Source organism: Homo sapiens, chromosome 3 (assembly GCF_000001405.40).
Source record: "Homo sapiens chromosome 3, GRCh38.p14 Primary Assembly".
NCBI lineage: Eukaryota > Metazoa > Chordata > Mammalia > Primates > Hominidae > Homo > Homo sapiens.
In genome coordinates this window covers 185,099,879-185,123,674 of record NC_000003.12, presented here as the reverse complement: position 1 = coordinate 185,123,674, position 23,796 = coordinate 185,099,879, and the positions used below count along the sequence as shown (strand labels likewise).

General features: G+C 39.5%; 1 protein-coding gene across 1 annotated transcript in view, besides 1 other annotated feature; it reads left to right on the top strand.

The window, feature by feature from the left end:
* C3orf70 (chromosome 3 open reading frame 70) overlaps positions 1-23,796 on the top strand; it is a 76,223-nt gene that overhangs the window by 29,386 nt on the left and 23,041 nt on the right. The window lies entirely within an intron of this gene.
* Positions 19,600-19,894: a silencer, noted in NCBI's record as "tiled region #10617; K562 Repressive non-DNase unmatched - State 9:DNaseU". NCBI's record gives its function as "represses a minimal TATA promoter and a strong SV40 promoter by Sharpr-MPRA in K562 cells {active_cell/tissue: K562}" and the evidence as "EXISTENCE:reporter gene assay evidence [ECO:0000049][PMID:27701403]".

Here is a 23,796-nt window from a genome sequence, read left to right as displayed (position 1 = left end):
CAGACAAACCATATTCATAAAGAAATAGGTCATAAAGATGGGGACCATGGTGTGTCCCTATAATCCCAGCTGCTTGGGAGGCTGAAGGGGGAGGATCGCTTGAGCCTAGGAGTTCAAGTCCAGTCTTGACAACGTAGTGAGACCTCATCTCTTAAAAAAAAAAAAAAGGAAAGAAAAATATATCAAAAAGTGAAATGTATAAAGGCACTATAGTTGGTAATTGTGTGTACCCAGCTTTGTAACTGTAGTCACCCAAAATATCATGATGTTCAATCTAAGTGTTTTGATGAGATATATCAAAAACCACGATGGGTCACCACTACATATGTCCTCTTTCAAAGAGCCGAGATCTCAAGAAATTTATCTTTCACAAATGCAAATGTAAAAAAAGGACTTTTTTTATTTGTTAAGTTTCAGCATTTTTATGCTTACACACACAGTCAACATTGTGATAATGCAGTTTCACAGAGTGAATTTTTTTTTTTTTTTTTTTTTTGAGATGGAGTCTCGGTCTGTCACCCAGGCTGGAGTGCAGTGGCGCGATCTTGGCTCACTGCAACCTCTGTCCTCCCAGGTTCAAGCGATTCTCCTGCCTTAGCCTCCTGAGTAGTTGGGACTACAGGTGTGTGCCACCATGCCTGGCTAATTTTTGTATTTCTTTTTCTTTTTCTTTTTTTTTTTAGTAGAGATGAGATTTCACCATGTTGGCCAGACTGGTCTTGAACTCCTGGCCTCAGGTGATCCACCTGCGTCGGCCTCCCAAAGTACTGGGATTACAGGCATGAGCCACTGCGCCTGGCCCATGGAGTCAATTTTTTGATGTCCAAGGAGCGGAAGAAAAGCCTTTCTCAGCTCTCAGAGACCAATTGCCTTTTGTATTTGTTCTTTCCTGGCCCTCAGCCAGTTGGATGATGCTTGCCGACATTGAGGTCAGATCTTCCTGCCTAGTCTACTCAGACTCACACACTAACCTCTTCTGGAAACACCCTCATAGACATACCTAAAATAATGCTTTATCATGTTTCTAGGTATTGCTTAATCCAATCAAGTTGATCCCTAATGGGAAGTCCATAAGCCCATCTGTCATCACCTTGGCACCCATATGCATCTCCTTAAACCATACTTAATTTCCAAATAAAGACAATAACAAGGTAATAGTTCCACTTTCCGTGATGCAACTATCCTCGGATGGTGATTTACAGGATTTTAGACACTCGGGGCTTTCGACTTTAGGGATTTTGATCTTTTAAGATTTCAACATTTGGGATTATGGCATTTGGGGTTGTCTTTTGAGATTGTGATCCAAACCCAGTTGAATCCACAGGTACAGAACCCACGGATATGGAGGGCCAATGGTATTCTGAGACTCTATTGTTAGGTTTATACATATTTAGGCTTATATATGTTCTTGGTCAGTTGACCCTTTACCATTATGTAATGTCTTTCTTTATCCTTGGTAATATTACTGGTTCTGGAATCATCTACTTTGATATTTATATAGTCACTCTAGCTTTCTTTTGATTAATGTTTGCATAGTATATTTCCTTTATACTCTTGCTTTTTTTTTTTTTTTTTTGAGACGGAGTCTCGCTCTGTCACCCAGGCTGGAGGGCAGTGGCACGATCTCGGTTCACTGCAAGCTCCGCCTCCTGCGTTCACGCCATTCTCCTGCCTCCGCTTCCCTAGTAACTGGGACTACAGGCACCCACCACCATGCCTGGCTAATTTTTTGTATTTTTAGTAGAGATGGGGTTTCACTGTGTTAGCCAGGATGGTCTTGATCTGCTGACCTCGTGGTCTGCCTGCCTTGGCCTCCCAAAGCGCTGGGATTACAGGCGTGAGCCACCATGCCCGGCCATGCTCTTGCTTTTAACCAATTTATTTCTTTATTTTCAAAGAGGGTTTCTTGTAGATAGCCTATCATTGGGCCTTGCTTTTTTATACAGTCTGACATCATGGCTTTCTTTGATTGTCCTGTCTGACCTAGCCTTACTACTTCTCCAACTTCACATGTCTCATTACACTCTCTCTCCTCTACTCTTCTCCCATCAGATTAACCTTAATTCAGTTTGTAGAACTAGTGAAATTCTTGCTCAAGACCATTGTTCTTGCTATTGTCTCTGCGTTGAGTGTTCTCATACCCTGTGGCATCTGCCATCCTCCCCCTTTCAGCCTCTCATGCTATAATAAATAGTCCTCTTGTCATGTCTCTTCTTAAACATTACCTCTTCACAGAAACCTTTCCTGGCTATGCTATCTAGAGTAGGCTCTCCCTGTTCTTTCTAACAGAATCATGCTTCTTTTTTTTTTTTTTTTAATTTCCATAGATTTTGGGGAACAGGTGGTAATTTGGTAATTTGTGAGATTTTGGTGAACCCGTCACCCGAGCAGTATACACTGAATCCAGTTTGTAGTCTTTTATCCCACATCCCCTTCCCACCCTTTCCCCTCAAGTCCCCAATGTCCATTGTATCATTCTTACCCCTTTGCATCCTCATAGCTTAGCTCCATTTATGAGTGAGAACGTATGATGTTTGGTTTTCCATTCCTGAGTTACTTTACTTAGAATAATAGTCTTCAGTCCTATCCAGGTTGCTGTGGATGCCATTACTTCATTCCTTTTTATGCTGACCAGTATTCCATCGTATACATATATACCACATTTTCTTTATCCACTTGTTGATTGATGGGCATTTGGGCTGGTTCCATATTTTTGCGATTGTGAATGGTGCTGCTATAAACGTGTGTTCAAGTATATTTTTTGTATAATGACTTCTTTTCTTCTGGGTATATACCCAGTAGTGGGATTGCTGGATCAAATGATAGTTCTACTTTTAGTTCTTTAAGGAATCTCCATACTGTTTTCCATAGTGGTTGTACTAGTTTACATTCCCACCAGCAGTGTAGAAGTGTTCCCTTTTCACCGCATCCATGCCAACATCTTTTTTTTTTTTTTTTTTAGTTTTGGATTATGACCGTTCATGCCGGAGTGAGGTGGTATTGCATTGTGGTTTTGATTTGCATTTCCCTGATCATTAGTGAGGTTGAACATTTTTCCATGTTTGTTGCCCATTTGTATATCTGCTTTTGAGAATTGTCTATTCATGTCCTTAGCCCACTTTTTGATGGGATTGTTTTTTTCCTTGCTAATTTATTTGAATTCCTTGTAGATTCTGGGTATTAGTCCTTTGTTGGGTGTATAGATTGTGAAGATTTCCTCCAACTCTGTAGGTTGTCTGTTTACTCTGCTTATTTTCATCTTTCTTTATTTGCCCTGCATATCTATTTGTTTACTATACTGTCTACTTTCCCCTCCTAGAATGCCAACATTATGAAGGTAAAGGAATCTTGTCCGTCTTGTTCTTTATTGAATGGCTAGCATTCAGTAGTACAGTGTCTGGCAGATAGTACATATTTGTTGAATGACCAAATGAATAATTTTCAAAATTTGCTTCTTTCTAGGACTTACATAGTCTTACATGCTTGTACATTTTCACCGTTAGACAGAAATGTATTTATACTTGCGAAGTTACCCTTTACCCATTAGCAGTCATATACATATCTTAAGTGATTTGTAGTGCTGTTATTATTATATGACCAAGTATATGATCTTTGTAAGACACTTTTTTCTTTTTCTTTTTTTTTTTTTTTTTGAGACAGAGTCTAGCTCTGTTGCCCAGGCTGGAGTGCAGTGTCACGATCTCAGCTCACTGCAACCTCTACCTCCCACATTCAAGCGATCCTCCTGCCTCAACCTCGAGTAGCTGGAACTACAGGCATGCACCACCACGCCCAGCTAATTTTTGTATTTTTAGTAGAGATGGGGTTTCACTATGTTGGCCAGGATGGTCTCGATCTCTTGACCTCATGATCCTCCCACCTTGTCCTCCCAAAGTGCTGGGATTACAGGCGTGAGCCACCGCACCCAGCCCTTTTTCATTTTTTTAAAAGCACCCCAAATTCCCTAAGATGCAGGTAAAATGAGGAAACATTAAACTGAAAATAGATTAGTGATGTACTTTTCTGAAAAATTCGGAGATTAACTGAAAGACCAACATAAGCTTTATTATTTAGACATGCCTTTTCAGTTCATTTTCACATTTACATATGTAATGAGATATAGTATACTATTTAAATTTAACATTAGGTGACTAACTTTAAGCTCTGTTAAAATGGCTGTATTTTTAGTAGAGACGGGGTTTCACCATGTTGGCCAGGATGGTCTTGATCTCCTGACTTCGTGATCTGCCCACATCAGCCTCCCAAAATGCCGGGATTACAGGCGTGAACCACCGCGCCCGGCTTCTCTTAGCACAAATTTCAAGTGCCATATATAACATATTATTATTAACTATAGTCACCGTGCTGTACTTTAAGTCCCCAGAACATACTCATCTTAAAACTGCAAGTTTGTACCCTTTATTGGTCATTAATTTGTTTCTTGAAAACTTGGTATGTTCTTGGTTTAGGAGAGGCAACCTCATAGTACTAAAATGTGGGCAAATGTGTAGTCATTTGTGAGCTGTGATGGAAGCAAACAAATAACATAAGCTTCCATCCTGATATTGTTTTAATTATGCCCACTAAAGACTCATTGGAAAAACATTTAAATGTTTCAAAACTCTGAAGGGATAGATCATGTATTAAGAAAATGGAAGTTGCCTTAGCAACCAACTCCTCTCTTTCAATATGGGAATCCAGGAGAAATTTACAGACATCATTACCATCGTCTGTAAAGGGACAAAGTAATTTGCAGGGGGAGTTTTTAAGTTTAAGTGTCTTTTCAGTAGTAGAGTAACACGGTAGAGTGGTTCTTGAGATCATATTATTTTAAAATGACTTAACTTGCGTAGAGTACAATATTCAACTTTTCTGTTTTCCTAGAAGTCATACATGAATCTAAATTGTTTTAAAATTTTTATTTAGTGTTCTGATACTTGTTTTAAATTTAACCCTGGAAGCATGACAAGGAAAATAGTAGTTTAAAAAAAGTATGCAATTTTTTTTAGGTTATTGTCTTTTCTGAAAAAATTTTAGTGTAATTTAAATGTTAGGGCTTTATGTCAAGTTTTATCTTTATAATGTTTTCACTATAAAGTAGTGAGGCTGTGTTACAAAGTGCAATATGTGTATATTCATATGTGTTCAGGCATTTACTGAGTACCCCCTCTGTATTAAGCACTGTGCTACCAACAAGGTATATAAAGATGAAAGACACAGCCCTTGTCATTAAGGAGCCCATAGTCTAGTGGAAGAGACAGATAAGTAAAGTAAAAACTATAGTCAAGTATATATGCCGTATAAAAATATATCCAGGATGGTTTGTCAGCACAGAAGCAGAGTATCTAAGACTTAGGGCATCAGGAAGACTTCTAGAACGGAGGATGCCCGAGCTTAAAGGAAAACAGGAATTGGCTAAAGAAGGAAAGAACCATCATGTCCCATCTCCAGTAAGACTTGCAGATATGAAAGAACATTCATTTATTCATTTATTCAACAAACATTTGTTGAGCATCTATTATATGCCAGACATATACAATGTAATACTGCCTTGGGGACATATTAGAACATAGAACTAGACACACTCCTGCCTTTTTAGGCATATGAAGAGAATAATACAATAATCACAAAAAATTGTAAAAACTATAGTTGTGATAAATGCAGTGAAGGAGAAGTCCAGGGTGCTGTGAGAATGTGTAATAGAGTGGGGATTGGGGCAGTATTCCCTGAGGAAGTAACACTAAACCTGACAACTGAAGGATGGGTCCATAAACAAAGATTATACAAAATTGTACTGATTTCACTTTTACTGTTAGAAAATGTAGGTTCTTGGGTATCTTTCAAGATCTTCAATGAGTTCAGTCTAGCTAGAACGTAGCGCACATGTGGGAGAAGGAAAAGACAAGCTGGAGAAGTAGGCAGGAACAAGATCATGGAAAGCCTTGTATACCTTTCTAGGAAAATTGCCTTTTATCTTGAAGGTGATCGATATTGTGAACCATTTGAGGATTTGAAGCCAAGCTGGGAGAAACATAATCAGATTTGTGTTTTAGAAGGATCTTCTTGAGAAAGATTACTGTGGAAGGCAAGGCTGTATCTACTTGTTTCTTTGCTAAGTAATACATGATAGGTTCTGTGTTTTTAAATTTTAATACCATATTTTTGTTCCTTCAGTTCTGCCATATCAGTGGCTTTTCTCTCTCTCTCTCTCTCTCTCTCTTTCTGTGTGTGTGTGTGTGTGTGTGTGTGTGTGTGTATGTGTGTGGTACACAAATGGTGAGAACCAGGGTTTTTACCCTAAGTGATGGGCATGGCTTCTAAAGATTTCTCACAGATCTTACAATAACTGAATTGGAGGAAATATATTTTACATATTTTAAAGTGATATGGCACTTACCCAGAAATAAATAATACTAACTGATGTTTTCAGTAGAAAAAAAACAATTGGGAAATTCCTAGATTGTGCTATTTGCATTTTTATTGACAAGGTTGCTGATTTTAAAAGTAAGATAGAGGTTCTGTTTAAATAAATAATTGGTAATAAATGTTGATTTTCCATAAATGTGGTTTCTCACTTGAAAATGTAGAGGGTCAGGCCGGGCGCGGTGGCTCACGCCTGTAATCCCAGCACTTTGGGAGGCTGAGGCGGGCGGATCACGAGGTCCAGAGATCGAGACCATCCTGGCTAACATGGTGAAACCCCATCTCTACTTAAAAATACAAAAAAAATTAGCCGGGCATGGTGGTGGGCACCTGTAGTCCCAGCTACTTGGGAGGCTGAGGCAGGAGAATGGCGTGAACCCCTAAGGCGGAGCTTGCAGTGAGCCGAGATTGCGCCACTGCACTCCAGCCTGGGCCACTGAGCAAGACTCCGTCTCAAAAAAAAAAAAAAATGTAGAGGGTTAGACTAACTGACCTCTAAAGACCTTTCTATCATAGTCTATGATTCTGTGTTTGCTTTTCAACAGGTCATTTTTCAATAGATACATACCTTTGCTTTGCTGTACTGACACAACAAATTAAGGCAGTGGTTCTCAACAGTGGATAATTTTGCCACCCAGGGGACATTTGGTAATGCCTGGAAACATTTTTGGTTGTCACAACTGGAGAGTTGCCTACTCATTTCTAGTGAGCAAGAGGTCAGGGATGCTGCTGAACATCCTAGAATGTAGAGGATAGCTCTTCACAAGAATTGTCCAGCCTAAAACGTAAATAATAACAGAAACCCTGAATTAAGGCAAGATTGATAAGACTACCTTTGGTTAATATATAGTCCTTGAGTAGATATGACATTCTATCTGTACTATAATATTTGTTTTTTCGTTCACTCATTCATTCTAAACATTGCCAAATGACGTTAAACACATCATCTTCGTATTCCATGTGCCATTATCTAATACAGAGTAGGTGGTGTTGAGATCCCTGAGGGGTACCAATAAATAGCATTCTTCCTTTGCTGAGTTGTGGGCCAGTTGAGAAATAAAATAAGAATATTCATCTGCAAGCCAAAATATTACCGTCTGTCTACTAAACACTGAATTAGAGGATGTAGCTTGTATTTGCTAGCATATGGGCTTCCAAATTCTGCACCTCAGAAGACTTATCCACCTAGGCATAGCAGCACTGGACTGGGACAAGCTCCGTTGCAGAGACCATCTGCAAGGGACTGAATGTTTGGTCCCCCACCGTCCAAATTCATATATTGAAATCCTAATCCCCAATGTGATGGTTTTAGGAGCGGTGAGACCTTTGGGAGGTAATAGTTCACGAGGGTGGAGTCCTCATGAATGGGATTAGTGCCGTTATGAAAGTGACTCCAGGGATCTCTTTAGCGCTCTTTTTGCCGTGTGAGGTCACAATGAGAAGTCAATGATCTGCAGTCCAGAAGATGGCCCTCACTAGCATCCAACCATGCCAGCAACCTGATCTTATAAACAATAGATCTCTTTTGTTTATAAGCCATACAGGCTATGGGGCTTTGTTATAGCAGCCTAAAGTGATTAAGACACTGTCTTTAGAGAACTAGGTCAGAACTTGCATTACCTTTGGTTGGCTCACTCCCAAGAGGCAAAAGGAGGGTGCTGAGCCAAGCATATGTAGTTTTGTTTTTTTCCAAATTTGCCAGCCAAGAAGCTATTCTCTCTCTCCTTGACCATAGGGAGGAAAGGCATAGAGAGGGGCCAAGAGTTTTATGCCACTTGAGCTCTCTCCATATGGAAGGATACATCAGGGAAGGAGAGGAAGCCTTCTCCATAATGGGTCCCAATAAATGCTGACAGATTATGATGTAGAATCTACTGTAAAGTCTACAGGGGGAATATCAGTTTATTTTTTTTCTGGGTTTGTGTACTTTTATTGTGTCTAATCTGTCCATCAGTTAACCAGTAGCCAAATGACTACAGCCAAAACAGGGGAAAATTAATTAGAATTTTAGATTATAAAAGGGACCTTAAAGATTATTTAGTGTATTGGCTCTCAGTCTTGGTTGTACATTGGAGTCACTTGAGAAGCTTTTAAAAAAATATATGCCAGAGTACCATCCCAGACCGTGTAAAATAAAATCTTAGGTGGGAGGAAGTAGGACCTGAGCATTTATTATTTTGTAAAATACCCCTTAGAGGATTCTGCTGCACACCCAAGATTGAGAATCACTGATCTATTCTAACCTTCTCATTTTATAAAAAATTAAACCAGAGCGTTTGAGTGAATTGCCTGAGGCTGTAATTAGTGAAAGTTAGAGTAAGAATCTGGCCTTCTGCCTCAGAGTTTAGGGCTTCTTATTGAAAACAAAGTGAGTTCCCTTTTTTTCCCCATAATTTTAGTTCAACAAAAGAATTTGCAAAAGCAATAGTCTTACGTCTGGAGATCTGGATTTTAATCTGATTCTGGTGTTAGCTTATTAAGTCATTCGGCCTCATTTTCCTTCTTTTTTAAAATTAAAGAATTAGACTAGAGCATTTCCAAGGTTTTTTCAGTCAGTAAAACCCTATGCTTCTATGGTTTCAAATATAAAGAATGAGCTTTATTGCTCCTTAGGGTTAATTGTTGTTTTAATTTTTAGTAAGAATCCACTGTCTAGCAAGAATGATGATAGGTGCTTTCATTTACATTCATTCCTTTTAATGGAAACATTTTAGGATAGGTTTCTGATGGGGAATCTTTAATCATTAAAATCAAGATTCTACTGCTATTTAAATTATAATACCTTGAGCTGGGCTTCTTAGTTTCATTAATTTACTGAAGATGTGGACTCTAAAAACATATTTACATGATAGAGACTATCTGGAAAAATGCTGTTAATTCTTGGATATTTCCAAGTGTGGATATGTTCACATATCTGAATAATTACTTGACTCCTTTTAATTTAATCTGAATATTTCTGAATATTTCTCAACATATAACAAAACAAAGTTACCATTTATGGTATTTCAGTTATTTTTGTGTTCATTTGGTTATTTTCTTTTTTTGGGGGGTGGGGGCGGAGTTTTGCTCTTGTTGCCCAGACTGGAGTGCAATGGCGTGATCTCGGCTCACCACAACCTGTGCCTCCTAGGTTCAAGCAATTCTCCTGCCTCAGCCTCCCAAGTAACTGGGATTACAGGCATGTGCCACCATGGCCGGCTAATTTTGTGTTTTTAGTAGAGACAGGGTTTCTTCATGTTGGTCAGGCTGTTCTGAAACTCCCGACCTCAGGTGATCCACCCACCTCGGCCTCCCAAAGTGCTAGGTTTACAGGCGTGAGCCACCACGCCCGGCCCATTTGGTTATTTTCTTAGAGCAATCAACTTAGAAAGTATTCTTTGACATTTAAGTTGTTAATTTAAATTGTTACAGATTCTGACTCTAAGGACAGGACCTATTATATTCCAGGTACTAAGCCATGTACCTCCCCCTTCCCTGTTCCACATAGCTCTGTCTCTGGCACTTAAGAAGTATATAATAAATTTTGGTTGGCTTATTTACTATTTTATATTCTGGCATTAATAGCCCACTGTGTCTTTTTTTCATATATATCACAACTGGAATTTTACTTTTGGCACTATCTAGCAATTAGTTATAATAGAAGCCCTAAGACTAATGAATAGGATTATTTCAAGAAATGCTTTTACTAGTGTTAGTTATTTATAGGTCCTTCTATGCTTGTTCATTATTTTATGACCGGATAAGTTTTCCTGACTTTTTCTTCCTGAATAAACCTCAGGTGAGGCAGGAATCCAGACACTTACTTTCAGCCATGTTCGAAGAAAAGGAAAATGCTCTTTAAGCAGTCTTGTTTCCTTCAGCCTCTATTCTTAGAATTCTATCCAGAAAAGGTATGGCACAGTTAGTTCTTTACAAGTCTCATCTGTTTTATTTTACATTGCCATTAACTTTCTTTTTTTCTTTTTTGTATTTTTTAGTAGAGATGGGGTTTCACTGTGTTAGCCAGGTCTTGATCTCCTGACCTCATGATCTGCCCGCCTCAGCCTCCCAAAGTGCTGAGATTACAGGCTTGAGCCACCATGCCTGGCCCTACATTGCCATTAACTTTCTACATATTGTAGATCTTTTCTTTAGTATAGATAAAAACTTCTATTTGAAGGCAAACATTAGATGGTCCTACTTTATTTTCATTGCAAATCTCTATGGGATTTATGTGCATGTCAAATGGCAATTATTATTTTGGAATAAAAATGTTAAAAATTTAACTCATGTTCAGTGACTCAAGTTTGAAATAATGTCATGAGAACTTTTACTGAACTTGCATTATTGGTTATTATTTATTGTATACTGAGAGTTTGGTGGCATGTAATATTCAAAAAAAGAAAATATTAATTAGTTTAGACATGCAAAGTCCAGGGATATAGTGAAAAATACATTAGGTAAAAGTTCAAAATAGAGGTTACCTCTTACTGTGATAGGGTAGGAGGAGGGAGGAGAATTAGATTGGGTATGAATATGCAGAGACTTCAACTATATTGATAGTTTTATCTTTTAACTAGATGGTGGGTACATGAAGTACATAGAGTACAAAAATAACTTATATACCTTTGTGTGAGAAAGATATTTCATAATTTTTTAATGGTAAAAATAAATGAATATAGGTTGTGCAAACAGCATAAGTGTAATTTTTAGCCTATCAAGGAATGCTGATATGATTTGTTGAAAAACTTGGCTTAAATAAATTTTCTAGTGAAATTTGAAAATCGTGGAATTATTTGGCAATAGAAGCAGAGTGTTTCAAGTCTAAATGGATGGGAGAAAGCAAAACTAGTGAAATTATGCTTGCTGGGGAATAGGAAAATGAGAACCAGGTGGCAAATGACCAGTCACTCAACCAGTTTCTTGTTACAGTCAGAATATAGTCAGAAAATGGGCCACGAGTGACTTCTATTTATTTTTTTTGATACAGAATCTCGCTCTATAGCTCAGGCTGGAATGCAGTGGTGTGATCTTGGCTCACTGCACCCTCCGCCTCCCAGGTTCAAGCGATTCTCCTGCCTCAGCTTCCCAAGTAGCTGGGATTACAGGCGCCCACCACACCTGGCTTATTTTTTTGTATTTTAAGTAGAGACAGGATTTCCCCATGTTGGTCAGGCTGATCTCGAACTCCTGACCTCCGGTGATCCACCTGCCTCAGCCTCCCAAAGTGCTGGGATTACAGGCATGAGCCACCACGCCTGGCCCAGCCCCATGATTTCTGTTTGGTGTTTTAAAAGTATTTTCTATCTCTTTGTTTAAATGCTTACTTCATTTATGCATTGTTCTCTTGACTTCAGTTAGCATTTCTGTTCAGTATTTTGAATTCTTTGTCAGGCAAATAATATAATTACATTTCATTAGGGTCAGTTTCTGGTATTTATCTTGTTCCTTTAAAACATCATTGCCTGATTCTGTTTCCTTTACTCTCTGTGTTGATGTCTACATATTAGATAGAAGAGAACCCTCTCCTAGTCCTTACTGACTGGACTTGCACCTTCACCAATCAGTGTGGCCAGAGATCCTGGGGTCCTCTATCAACTCTTCCAAATTGTTTTTCAAAATAGTTTTCCCAAGCAGCTGTATACCATTTTACATCCCCACTATCAGAGTTCCAGTTCTCCACAGTCTTGCCAACCGTTTTTATTGTCTTTTTTATTGAAGTCATCCTAATGGGGGTGAAATGGTAGCTCATTGCGGTTTTGTTTTGCATTTATCTAATGGCTAATGATGTGTTGAGCATTTTTTCATTTGCTTATTGACCATCTTTAAAGACATATCTATTCAAATCCTTTTGATCATTTTAAAATTAGATTGTCTTCTTATTGAATTCTAAGAGTTCTTTATATATTCTGATATAAATCTTTTGCCATATATATGACTGGCAAATATTTTCTCTCTTTCTGTGGGTTGTCTTTTTTCACTTTCTTGATGGTATCTTTTGAAGCACAATGATTTTTTATTTTGATGAAATCAAATTTACTTTTTCTTTCATTGCTTATGCTTTAACAAAACATTCTCTAATTCAAGATCATAAAGATTTATTCCTATGTATTCTTCTAAAAATTTATAGTTTTAGCTCTTATGTTTAGTTCCATGATGCATTGTGAGTTGCTTTTTGTACTTAGTGTGAGACAGGGATCTAATTTTCTTTCTTTTGCATGTGTGCCAAGAACAGCTCAGTCAGGGAGACCCTAACCCGGCAGCGCTAGAGGAATTAAAGACACACACACAGAAATATAGAGGTGTGAAGTGGGAAATCAGGGGTCTCACAGCCTGCAGAGCTGAGAGCCCGAACAGAGATTTACACACATATTTATTAACAGCAAGCCAGCCATTCGCATTGTTTCTATAGATATTAAATTAACTAAAAGTATCCCTTATGGGAAATGAAGGGATGGGCCGAATGAAAGGAATAGGTTGGGCTAGTTAACTGCAGCAGGAGCATGTCCTTAAGGCACAGATCGCTCATGCTATTGTTTGTGGCTTAAGAATGGCTTTAAGCGGTTTTCCGCCCTGGGTGGGCCAGGTGTTCCTTGCCCTAATTCCCATAAACCCACAACCTTCCAGCATGGGCGTTATGGCCATCACAAACATGTCACAGTGCTGCAGAGATTTTGTTTATGGCCAGTTTTGGGGCCAGTTTATGGCCAGATTTTGAGGGGGGGCCTGCTCCTAACACGTCCCCCTTATTCGATTTGCAAATCAATAAAAGCAAGGGCAGCTTTGTCATGGTGAGCTACTTCTCGCAGGAGTCAGGATCCACATCTGCAGACTATACAAAGACAAACAACACAGATTAAAAGCACAATCGTCATTGAAATCACAGAGCTTCCAAGTGTTTTTATCCATTTTAACAGGTTACTAGCTGCTAATTTGTCTGCAGCTCCTTCAAGCACTCCAGTTCCTGGCATTAAGGTCAGGTGTGCCTGGGATACTTTAAATATTTGTTCTTTAATTTTGCAATAGCCAAAGACAAGTTTGTAGAGTGTCTTTCTAGATGCTTTTTTATTCTTTACCAAATTTTGATCTTATTAAGAGCTATTAATAGTTTCCACAAATCTTTGTGTTTAGCTCCTACAGCGGGCCATATCATATGAGGTTGAGGTGCCACTATACCACCATGGTTCCAGATAATAGGAACTCTTGTCATACTTTTTATCATTTCTGCCATCCGACCGTTTTGTTCAGACCAGCTGAACATAGTGTGGCCGTGGCATGCAGACTGACAGGTGCAATTTAAGCTAAACATCTCCTTAGGGGACCAATTAATAATGATTCCATAGGAATCGTTGTGTAGCACCTCTGTCTGTTCTGCAGTGCAATCTTCCTAAACAAGTACGTTCATTATTTCTGGCCAGGTTCAATTTTGTTTACAAATAGGTTTTTGAGGGTGGTATGCCTCAATTATAGGAGCAGATTTATTATGGTAAATACTGAGATCAGAAAGCGTGTGTAACTGTGTCATAGAGTGATTACATCCAGGCATTATTGCCAGCCAAAATGGATAAATATGCCCAATAAGTATAATTGTTCTCTGTGTCAGCCCTTGTTGAAGGAATACTCACGGCAGTGGTGATAACCACTATCATAGCTACCATTAAATTATTCATTGTGACTGACTGTCCCCCTTTCCTCCGGTTTTCTTCTGCCATCTGTGACAGCTTTTTGATCTGTCCCCAGATGAGTGGCTGTGTTCGACGGGTGTTGCTTGTGTCAGTTGGGGTCCTCCTCAGCATCAGCCTCGACATGGCTGCAACCGGGGGGTCCTTGGGATCCTCCCAGAATCTCTTCCTCGGCATCTGGCTCATGATAAAGTTTCAGGTGTCTTGATGGTATCCAAATCAGCTGTTGATTTTGACCTGGAGAAACGCAAGCATAACCTCTACCCCAAGTTATTATTTTATCTATGTCCTAACTTTTTGTTATCGGATCTCTCCACCAAACCAATTGTTTTGCTTCTGTCTTTGCAGCTGGTTTCTGTAGTTGCTGTTCAGCTGCTGATAACATCTGGCCTTTGGGCAGGCTCAAAAAATTTAAAGTTAATAATGCCAGATTCAGTTGCATCTGTGGGGTTCCATATTCTCTGTCTCCCCCTTTCTGCTTTTGCAACTGCTGTTTTAGGGAGATATTCATTCTTTCCACTATGGCTTGTCCTTGAGAATTGTATGGGATGCCAGTAATGTGTTTAATATTCCACATAGAGAAAAATGTAGCTAGAGCTTGGCTAGTATAACCTGGGGCATTGTCTGTTTTAATAGAAGCTGGAATGCCCATCACCGCAAAACACTGGAAAAGGTGACGTTTAACACAGGCAGAAGACTCTCCTGATTGGCATGTAGCCCAGACAAAGTGAGAAAAGGTGTCCACACATACATGTACATAAGCTAGTCTCCCAAACGAGGGAACATGTGTGACATCCATTTGCCAAAGAGAGTTAGGTTCCAGTCCTCGAGGATTAACTCCTCCTTTAAAAGATGAGGAATGTACCATTTGGCAAGTTGGGCATCACTGGATAATAGCTTTAGCTTCTTTCCAGGTAATGCTGTATCTGTGTTTGAGACTAGAGGCATTAACATGGGTTAAATTGTGAAAGTGTCTAGCATTAAATATTGCCTTAGCAACTAGGCGATTGGCCATTTGATTCCCTTCAGTCAAAGGTCCTGGAAGAAAGAGGTGTATGAGCCCTAATGTGAGTGATGTAAAAAGGGTGCATTCTAATTCTAACTGCTGTTTGCAATTGGGTAAATAAAGTCATCAGTTGTTCATCACTTGTATGAAATTGTAACTGAGCATTTTCAATTAACTATGTGGCATGAACCACGTATGAAGAATCAGAAATCACATTAATAGGCATATCAAAAGCAGTCAATACCTCAATTACAGCTACAAGCTCTGCTTTTTGATCTGAAGTATAGGACATCTGGAAAACTTTACTTTTTGAGCCAGAATAAGAAGCTTTACCATTGCTAGACCTATCTGTAACATTTTCAGCACCTTCAATTGGTTTAAATTTAGTTATTTTAGGGAGAATCTAATTAGTTAATTTCAAAAACTGAAACAGTTTTAAGAAAATGATTATCAAGAATACTTACAAAGTCAGCTAAATGGGTTTGCCAAGTAAGACTATTTATAGAAGCTTGCTGTATTTGTGCCTTCGTGAGAGGGACAATAATTTTTCTAGGATCATATCTATGTAATTTAACAATCTGAGTTCTCCGAATCCCTATCATAGTAGCGATTTGATCTAAATAAGGAGTTAGAGTCCGTGAATTAGTATGTGGAAGAAAAAGCCACTCTTACTAAGTCCTGTTCTTGGACAATAACACCTGTAGGTGAATGCTGAGTTGAAAAAATTAGCAAATCTAGAGTCTATGACTATTAAAGGCCAATTTTTTGGAATTACAGCAGGAGAAGGCAATCCTGGCTGTAATGCTCACATAGGTTGTATAACTGAATTGATGGCTCTTAAGTCAGTTAACATTCTCCATTTACTTGATTTTTTCTTAGTTAGGAAAACTGGAGAATTCCAAGGGGAAAATGTTGGAGCTATGTGCCCATTTTCTAATTGTTCAGTAACTAATTTCTCTAAAGCCCCCAGTTTCTCTTTACTTAGTGGCCATTGTTCTATCCAAATTGGCTTATCTGTTAACCATTTTAAAGGTGTAGGTTCTGGAGGCTTAACAATGGCCACCATCAAAAATTATTTCCTAATCTTTGTCAGGAACTTTGTTTTTCCACTTGAAGTGGTTCTTTCAAACCTTGCAAATTTTTTTCTAGTCCCATACCAGGGACATACCCCATTTCACGCATCATATGTTGCCTTTGAGGGCTATATAATTGTTCTGGAATTAGAACTTGTGCTCCCCATTGTTGTAATAAATCTCTCCCCCATAGATTTATAGGTACGGAAGTTATAATTGGTTGAATAGTCCCAGGTTGTCCATCGGGCCCTTCACAATGCAAGATATAACTACTTTGATATACTTCAGGGGCTTTACCAACTCCAGCTATGTTAAATTGAGTAGGTTGAATTGGCCACGTGGACGGCCAGTGCTATAGAGAAATGATTGAAATGTCCGCTCCTGTATCTACCAAACCTTTAAATTTCTTTCCCTGAATAGTTATTTCACAGGTAGGGTGTTTATTAGTAATTTGATTTACCCAATAAGCTGCTTTGTCTTGTTTATTTGTGCTTCCAAATCCTCCTGTTTGTTTAATTTCACTTTTCCCCATGTCCACATACGGCACAATCAGGAGCTGTGCTATACACTGTCCTGGCTCTGCTTTCCAGGGAACAGAAGTAGATGTAACAATTTGAATTTCCTCATTGTAATCTGAGTCAATGACTCCTGTATGTGTTTGCACTCCTTTTAAATTTAAACTAGACCTTCCTAAAAGTAATCCTATCGTCCCTGCTGGCAAGGGTCCACAGAGCCCTGTTGGAACTTTTTGCGGGGGGTTCCCCAGGCAGAAGGCTCACAGCTTTTGTGTAGCATAGATCTACTGCGGCACTACCGGCTGTGGCGGGGGACAGACATTGTACAGGGGTGAGGGAATGGCCTGAGCTGGAAAGGCCCCGGTTTAGAATGGGGCCTGGGACGGGCCCTCATGGTGTTTCCCAAAATCAGGTTCCCATCTTTATCAAACTTAGAGTGACACTGATTAGCCCAGTGTTTTCCTTTTTTACATTTTGGACATATTTCAGGCTCAGCAGTTTTCTTTTTTTCCCTCAACTGGCGGCCTGACTTGCTGATTTTTTCCACATTCTTTTTTAGTATGACCGTGCTTCCCACAGTTAAAAGAAGCTCCAGGAAATGGAGTATTTCCTTTATCCACTCTCAGTCCTGCCATTGCCTGTGCTAGCAGAGTAGCCTTATGCAGATTACCTCCAATACCATCACAGGCCTTGATGTAATCAACTAAATGTGCTTTCCTGAATTTAAAAGGAAAAGGCTCAAATGTAGCTATAATATTTCCCTGTTGATCTGGGGGGTGTATTCTAACAGGGAACTGCCAAGCCTCTAAATCACTCTCTCATCTAGCTTGCTGAATTCCTGCCTGAATAAAACTTAGAGCGGTTGCTCGAGGCGCTGCTCGAACAATCACTGGGGCAACTACTTTTCACCCAGTGTCCTCTGGAAAAGAAAGATATGGAGGGTCTTTTTCTTCAAAATAATAATGAGGGGGTGCAGAAGGATAGGGATGAACCTCTCCTTCCTTTGCCACTTTAGCTGGTAAATAAATATGCTCTGTAACCTCTTCTGTTACTTTGCTATACTCTCCTTCCTCCTCATCATCAGTGTGAAAAAGTTCCAAGGTGGAACAAACCACACCCCACACTTATCCCATTGTTACCCTGACGCTTCCAAGCTCCCCTTCTTACTCACCACAGGGATTGCTTTAAGAGTACTCTGGTGTCCTCCAGCTAGTTCCACATTCTCCAACCATCGCTCCAGCGACCCTTCAACCTGGATTCGAGCCCCCACGATGGATGCCATTTGCCGAGACCAGCTCGGTTGGGGAGACCCTAACCCAGCGGCACTAGAGGAATTAAAAACACACAGAGAAATATAGAGGTGTGAAGTGGGAAATCAGGGGTCTCACAGCCTGCAGAGCTGAGAGCCCCAAACAGACATTTACCCACATATTTATTAACAGCAAGCCAGCCATTAGCATTGTTTCTGTAGATATTAACTTAACTGAAAGTATCCCTTATGGGAAATGAAGGGATGGGCCGAATGAAAGGAATAGGTTGGGCTAGTTAACTGCAGCAGGAGCATGTCCTTAAGGCACAGATCGCTCATGCTATTGTTTGTGGCTTAAGAATGGCTTTAAGCGGTTTTCCACCCTGAGTGGGCCAGGTGTTCCTTGCCCTCATTCCCGTGAACCCACAACCTTCCAGCATGGGTGTTATGACCATCATGAACATGTCACAGTGCTGCAGAGATTTTGTGTATGGCCAGTTTTGGGGCCAGTTTATGGCCAGATTTTGGGGGGCCTGCTCCCAACACATGTGGATATCCAGTTGTCCTAACATCTACTTAACCTATTGAACATATAGAATACAGTTGTAGTCATTGTTTTAGTATATTTGCTAATTTTAACATTTGTGTCAGTTCTGGGTAGATTTTAATTGATACTTTCTACATTATTAGTTGTATTTTCTCCTTATTTGATATGTCTGGTAATCTTTAATTGGTTGTCAGCATTGTGAATTTTACCTTGTTAGTTGCTGGATATTTATTTTTTAAGTTCAGGGGTATGTGTGCAGGTTTGTTATAAAGGTAAATTTATGCCATAGGAGTTCGTTGTACCAATTATTTCATCACCCAGGTATTAAACCTAGTACCTATTAGTTATTTTTCATGATCCTTTCCCTCCTCCTACCCTCCACCTTCTGGTATGCAGTGTGTGTTGTTCCCCTCTATGTGTCCATGTGTTCTCATCATTTCACTTCCACTAAGAACATGCGGTATTTGGTTTTCTGTTTCTGCATTAGTTTGCTAAGGATAATGGCCTCCAGCTCCATCCATCTCTCTGCAAAGGACTTGATCTCATTCTTTTTTATGGCTGCATAGTTTTCCATGGTGTATGTGTACCACTTTTTCTTTATCCAGTCTATCATTGATGGGCATTTGGGTTGATTCCATGTTGTTGCTACTGTGAACAGTGCTGCAGTGAACATATGCATGCATGTGTCTTTATGATAGAATGATTTTATATTCCTTTGGGTATTTACCTAGTAATGGGATTGCTGGGTCAAATGGCAGTTCTGTTTTTAGGTCTTTGAGGAATTGCCACACAGTTTTCCACAATGATTGAACTAATTTACACTCCCACCAACAGTGTATAAGCATTCCTTTTTCTCTGCAACCTCTCCAACACCTGTTATTCTTTGACTTTTTAATAATAGCCATTCTGACTGGTGTTGAAACAGGTCAGGGTTACTGGTCTTGTTGTCTTAAGGTGTTACCCAAGCTCATCATCTCACAACCAAGAGAATTAAGGAGCATGGACACAAAGGATGAGGTTGGAGGGAAAGTTTAATAAGCAAAAGAAGAAAGCTGTCCACAGCGGAGGGGGGAGCCAGAGTGGATTGCCGTTTTACAGTTGAACTCAAAAGCTTTTATAAGAAACTCCTGTCATCTCTGTAGCTGTTTGAGTAACTTCTCTTATCTGAAAAGCTGTCTGCATAACTCTCCCTTATCTGTGTAGTTGTGCGTATGTCTCTAGGCATGCACAAAGCACCCTTTCTCTTGTTTGTATAACTGTGGGTTTCTTTTAGGTAAGTCCCCCTCCTCCCTGTGCAGGTTCCCACAGAGCCCACCATGTATATGCCTGAAAGGGACAGGAGCCTTTTTCCTGGGAGCCCACTAATCACACAAAGAACAAAAGGCTTCTGTGTTGGATCTTACCTGCTTATCTCTGCAGGTGCAGCCTGAGTTTTCCCCAGGCTGCTCTATTTTTGCCTGTAGCCATGATTTTTCAGGCAGGCTGCTTCTCCGAGGACCAGTCTTAACTGTTTACCTAAATGATTTTTCCTTTTCTTCTCCCTCAGTGTGAGATGGTATCTCATTGTGGTTTTGATTTGCATTTCTGTAATGATCAGTGATGTTGAGCTTTTTTTCATATGCTTGTTGGCTGCGTGTATGACTTCTTTTGAAAAGTGTCTGTTCATGTTTTTTGCCCACTTTTTAATGGTTTTTTTTTTCTTGTAAATTTAAGTTTCTTCTCGATGATGGATATTAGACCTTCGTCAGATGTATAGTTTGCAAAAATCTTCTCCCATGCTGTATGTGGTCTGTTTACTCCGTTGATAGTTTCTTTTGCTGTGTAGAAGCTTTCTAATTAATCCCGTTTGTCTATTTTTGCTTTTGTTGCAATTGCTTTTCGTGTCTTTGTCATGAAATCTTTGCCCGTTCCTATGTCCAGAATGGTATTGCCTAGGTTGTCTTCCAGGGTTTGTTTGAGACAGAGCCTCACTCTGTGGCCCAGGCTGGTATGCAGTGGCACAATCTCTGTTCACTGCAACCTCCGCCTCCCAGATTCAAATGATTCTCTTGCCTCAGCCTCCTGAGTAGCTGGGATTACAGGCAGGTGCCACCACGCCTGGCTAATTTTTGTATTTTTAGTAGAGATGGGGTTTCACCATGTTGGCCAGGCTGGTCTCGAACCCCTGACCTCAGGTGATCCACTCACCTCAGCCTCCCAAAGTGCTGGGATTACAGGCATGAGCCACTGCCATGCCTGGCCGTCTTCCAGGGTTTTTATAGTTTTGGGTTTTACATTTAAGTCTTTTATCTATCTTGAGTTAATTTTTGTATATGGTGTAAAGAAGGGGTTTATTCAGTCTTCTGCATATGGGTAGCCAGTTATCTAAGCATCATTTATTGAATAAGGATTCCTTTCCCCATTGCTTGTTTTTATCAACTTTGTAGAAGATTAGATAGTTGCAGGTGTGTGGCCTTATTTTGGGGCTCTATTCTGTTTCATTGGTCTGTGTGTCCGTTTTTGTACCAGTGTCTTGCTGTTTTGGTTACTATAACCCTGTAGTAGAGTTTGAAATCAGGTAGCATGATGCCTCCAGCTTTGTTCTTTTTGCTTAGCATTGCCTTGTCTATTCGGGCTCGTTTTTGGTTCCAGTGCATTTTAAAATAGATTTTCTAGTTCTGTGAAGAATGTCATTTGTAGTTTGATAGGAATAGCATTGAATCTATAAATTGCTTTGGGCAGTATGGCCATTTTAATGAAACTGATTCTTTCTAATAACAAGCATGGAATGTTTTCCCATTTGTTTGTGTCATCTCTGATTTCTTTGAGCAGTATTTTGTAGTTCTCCTTGGAGAGATCTTTCACCTCCCTGGTTAGCTATATTCCTGGTTAATTTTTTGTGTCAATTGTGAATGGGATTGTGTTTCTGATTTGGCTGTTGGCCTGTTTTTGGTATATAGGAATGCTAATCATTTCTGTACATTGAATTTGTATCCTGAGACTTTGCTGAAGTTGTTTATTAGCTGAAGGAGCTTTTGGGCCGAGACTGTGGGGTTTTCTAGATATAGGATCGTGTTGTCTGCAAACAGGGATAGTTTGATTTCCTCTCTTCCTGTATGGATGCCCTTTCATTCTTTCTCTTGCCTGATCTGCCTGGACTTTCAATTCTATGTTGAATAGGAGTGGTAAGAGAGGGCATCCTTGTCTTGTGTTGGTTTTCATTAAGAATGCCTTACCTTTTACCCATTCAGTATGATGATCGCTGTGGGTTTGTCATAGATGGTTCTTATTATTTTGAGGTATTTTCCTTCAATACCTAGTTAATTGAGAGTTTTTAACATGAAGGAATGTTGAACTTTATTGAAAGCCTTTTTCTGCATTGATATGGTTTGGCTGTGCCCCCACCCAAATCTCATGTAGAATTGTAATCCCCATGTTGGAGATGGGGCTTGGTGGGAGGTGATTGGATCATGGGGCTGGTTTCTAATGGTTTAGCACCATCCCCCTAGTGTTGTCTCGTTGACAGAGTTCTTACCAGATCTGGCTGTTTGAAGGTGTATAGCACCTCCTCCATCACTTTCTCTCCTGCCAGCCATGTGAAAATGTACCTGCTTCCCATTCACCTTCCACCATGATTGTAAGTTTCCTGAGACCTCCCCAGAAGCAGACGCCTGTTCATTCTGCAAAACCATGAGCCAATTAAACCTCTTTTCTCTGTAAATTACCCAGTCTCAGGTAGTTCTCTATAGTAGTGCAAGAATGGATGAATGCGTGCATCTATTGAGATAATTGTGTGGTTGTCTTTAGTTATGTGATGAATCATATTTTTTGATTTGTGTGTGTATGTTGATCCAAACTTGCATTCCAGGGACAAAGCCTACTTGATCGTGGTGGATAAGCATTTTGATGTCCTGTTGGATTTGGTTTGCGAGTATTTTGTTGAGGATTTTTGCATTGATGTTCATCAAGGATATTGGCCTGAAGTTTTCTTTTTTTGTTGTGTCTGCCAGGTTTTGGTATCAGGATGATGCTGGCCTCATAGAATAAGTTAGGGAGGAGTCCTTCTTCCTTAATTTATTGGAATAGTTTCAGTAGGAATGGTACCAGCTCATCTTTATATATCTGATAGAATTTGCCTGTGAATCCCTCTGGTCCTGGGCTTTTTTTAATTGGTGGGCTATTTATTACCGATTAAATTTCAGAGCTTGTTACTAGTCTATTCAGCAATTCCATTTCTTCCTGGCTCAGTCTCGGGAGGATGTGTCCAGGAATTTATCCATTTTTTACAGGTTTTCTAGTTTATGTGTGTAGAGGTGTTCATAATATTCTCTGATGGTTATTTGTATTTCTGTGAGTTCATTTGTAATATGCCCTTTGCCATTTCTAATTGTGTTTATTTGGATCTACTCTCTTCTTTATTAGTCTAGGTAGTGATCTATTTTGTTAATTTTTTTTTTTCAAAAAACCAACTCCAGGACCCATTGAGGTTTTGGATGGTTTTTCATGTCTAAAGCTGTTTTAGTTCAGCTCTGATTTTGGTTGTTTCTTGTCTTCTGCTAGCTTTGGGATTGGCTTGCTCTTGGTTTTCTAGTTCATTTAGTTGTGATGTTAGGTTTTTAAATTGAGATCTAAGTTTTTGATATGGGTATTTAGTGCTATACATTTCCCTCTTAACACTGTCTTAGCTGTGTCCCAGGGATTCTGGTATGTTGTATCTTTGTTTTCATTGGTTTCAAAGAATTTCTTTTTCTGCCTAAATTTCATTATTTACCCAAAATTCACTCAGGAGCAGGTTATTCAACTTCCATATAATTGTATGGTTTTGACAGAATTTCTTAGTTTTGATTTCCAGTTTGATTGCTCTGTGGTCCGAGAGTGTGGTTGTTTTGATTTCAGTTATTTTGCATTTGCTGAGTGTGTTTTATGTCCGATTATGTGATTGATTTTAGAGTATGTTTCATGTGGCAATGAGAAAACTGTATATTCTGTTTTGGGGTGGAGAGGTAATGTAGATGTCTATCAGGTCCATTTGATCCACTACTGAGTTCAGGTCCTGAGTATCTTTTTTAATTTTTTGCCTCGGTGATCTAATACTGTTGGTGGGGTGTTGAAGTCTCTCACTATTCTTGTGTGGAAGTCTCAGTCTCTTTAGGTCTCTAAGAACTTGCTTTGTGAATCTGGGTGCTCCTGTGTTGGGTGCATATACATTTAGGATAGTTACGTCTTCTTGCTAAATTGAATCCTTTACCATTATGTAATGCCCTTTTTAAAAATCTGTGTTGGTTGAAAGGGTGTTTTATGTGAAATTAGGGTTGCATCCCCTGCTTTTTCTGTTTTCCATTT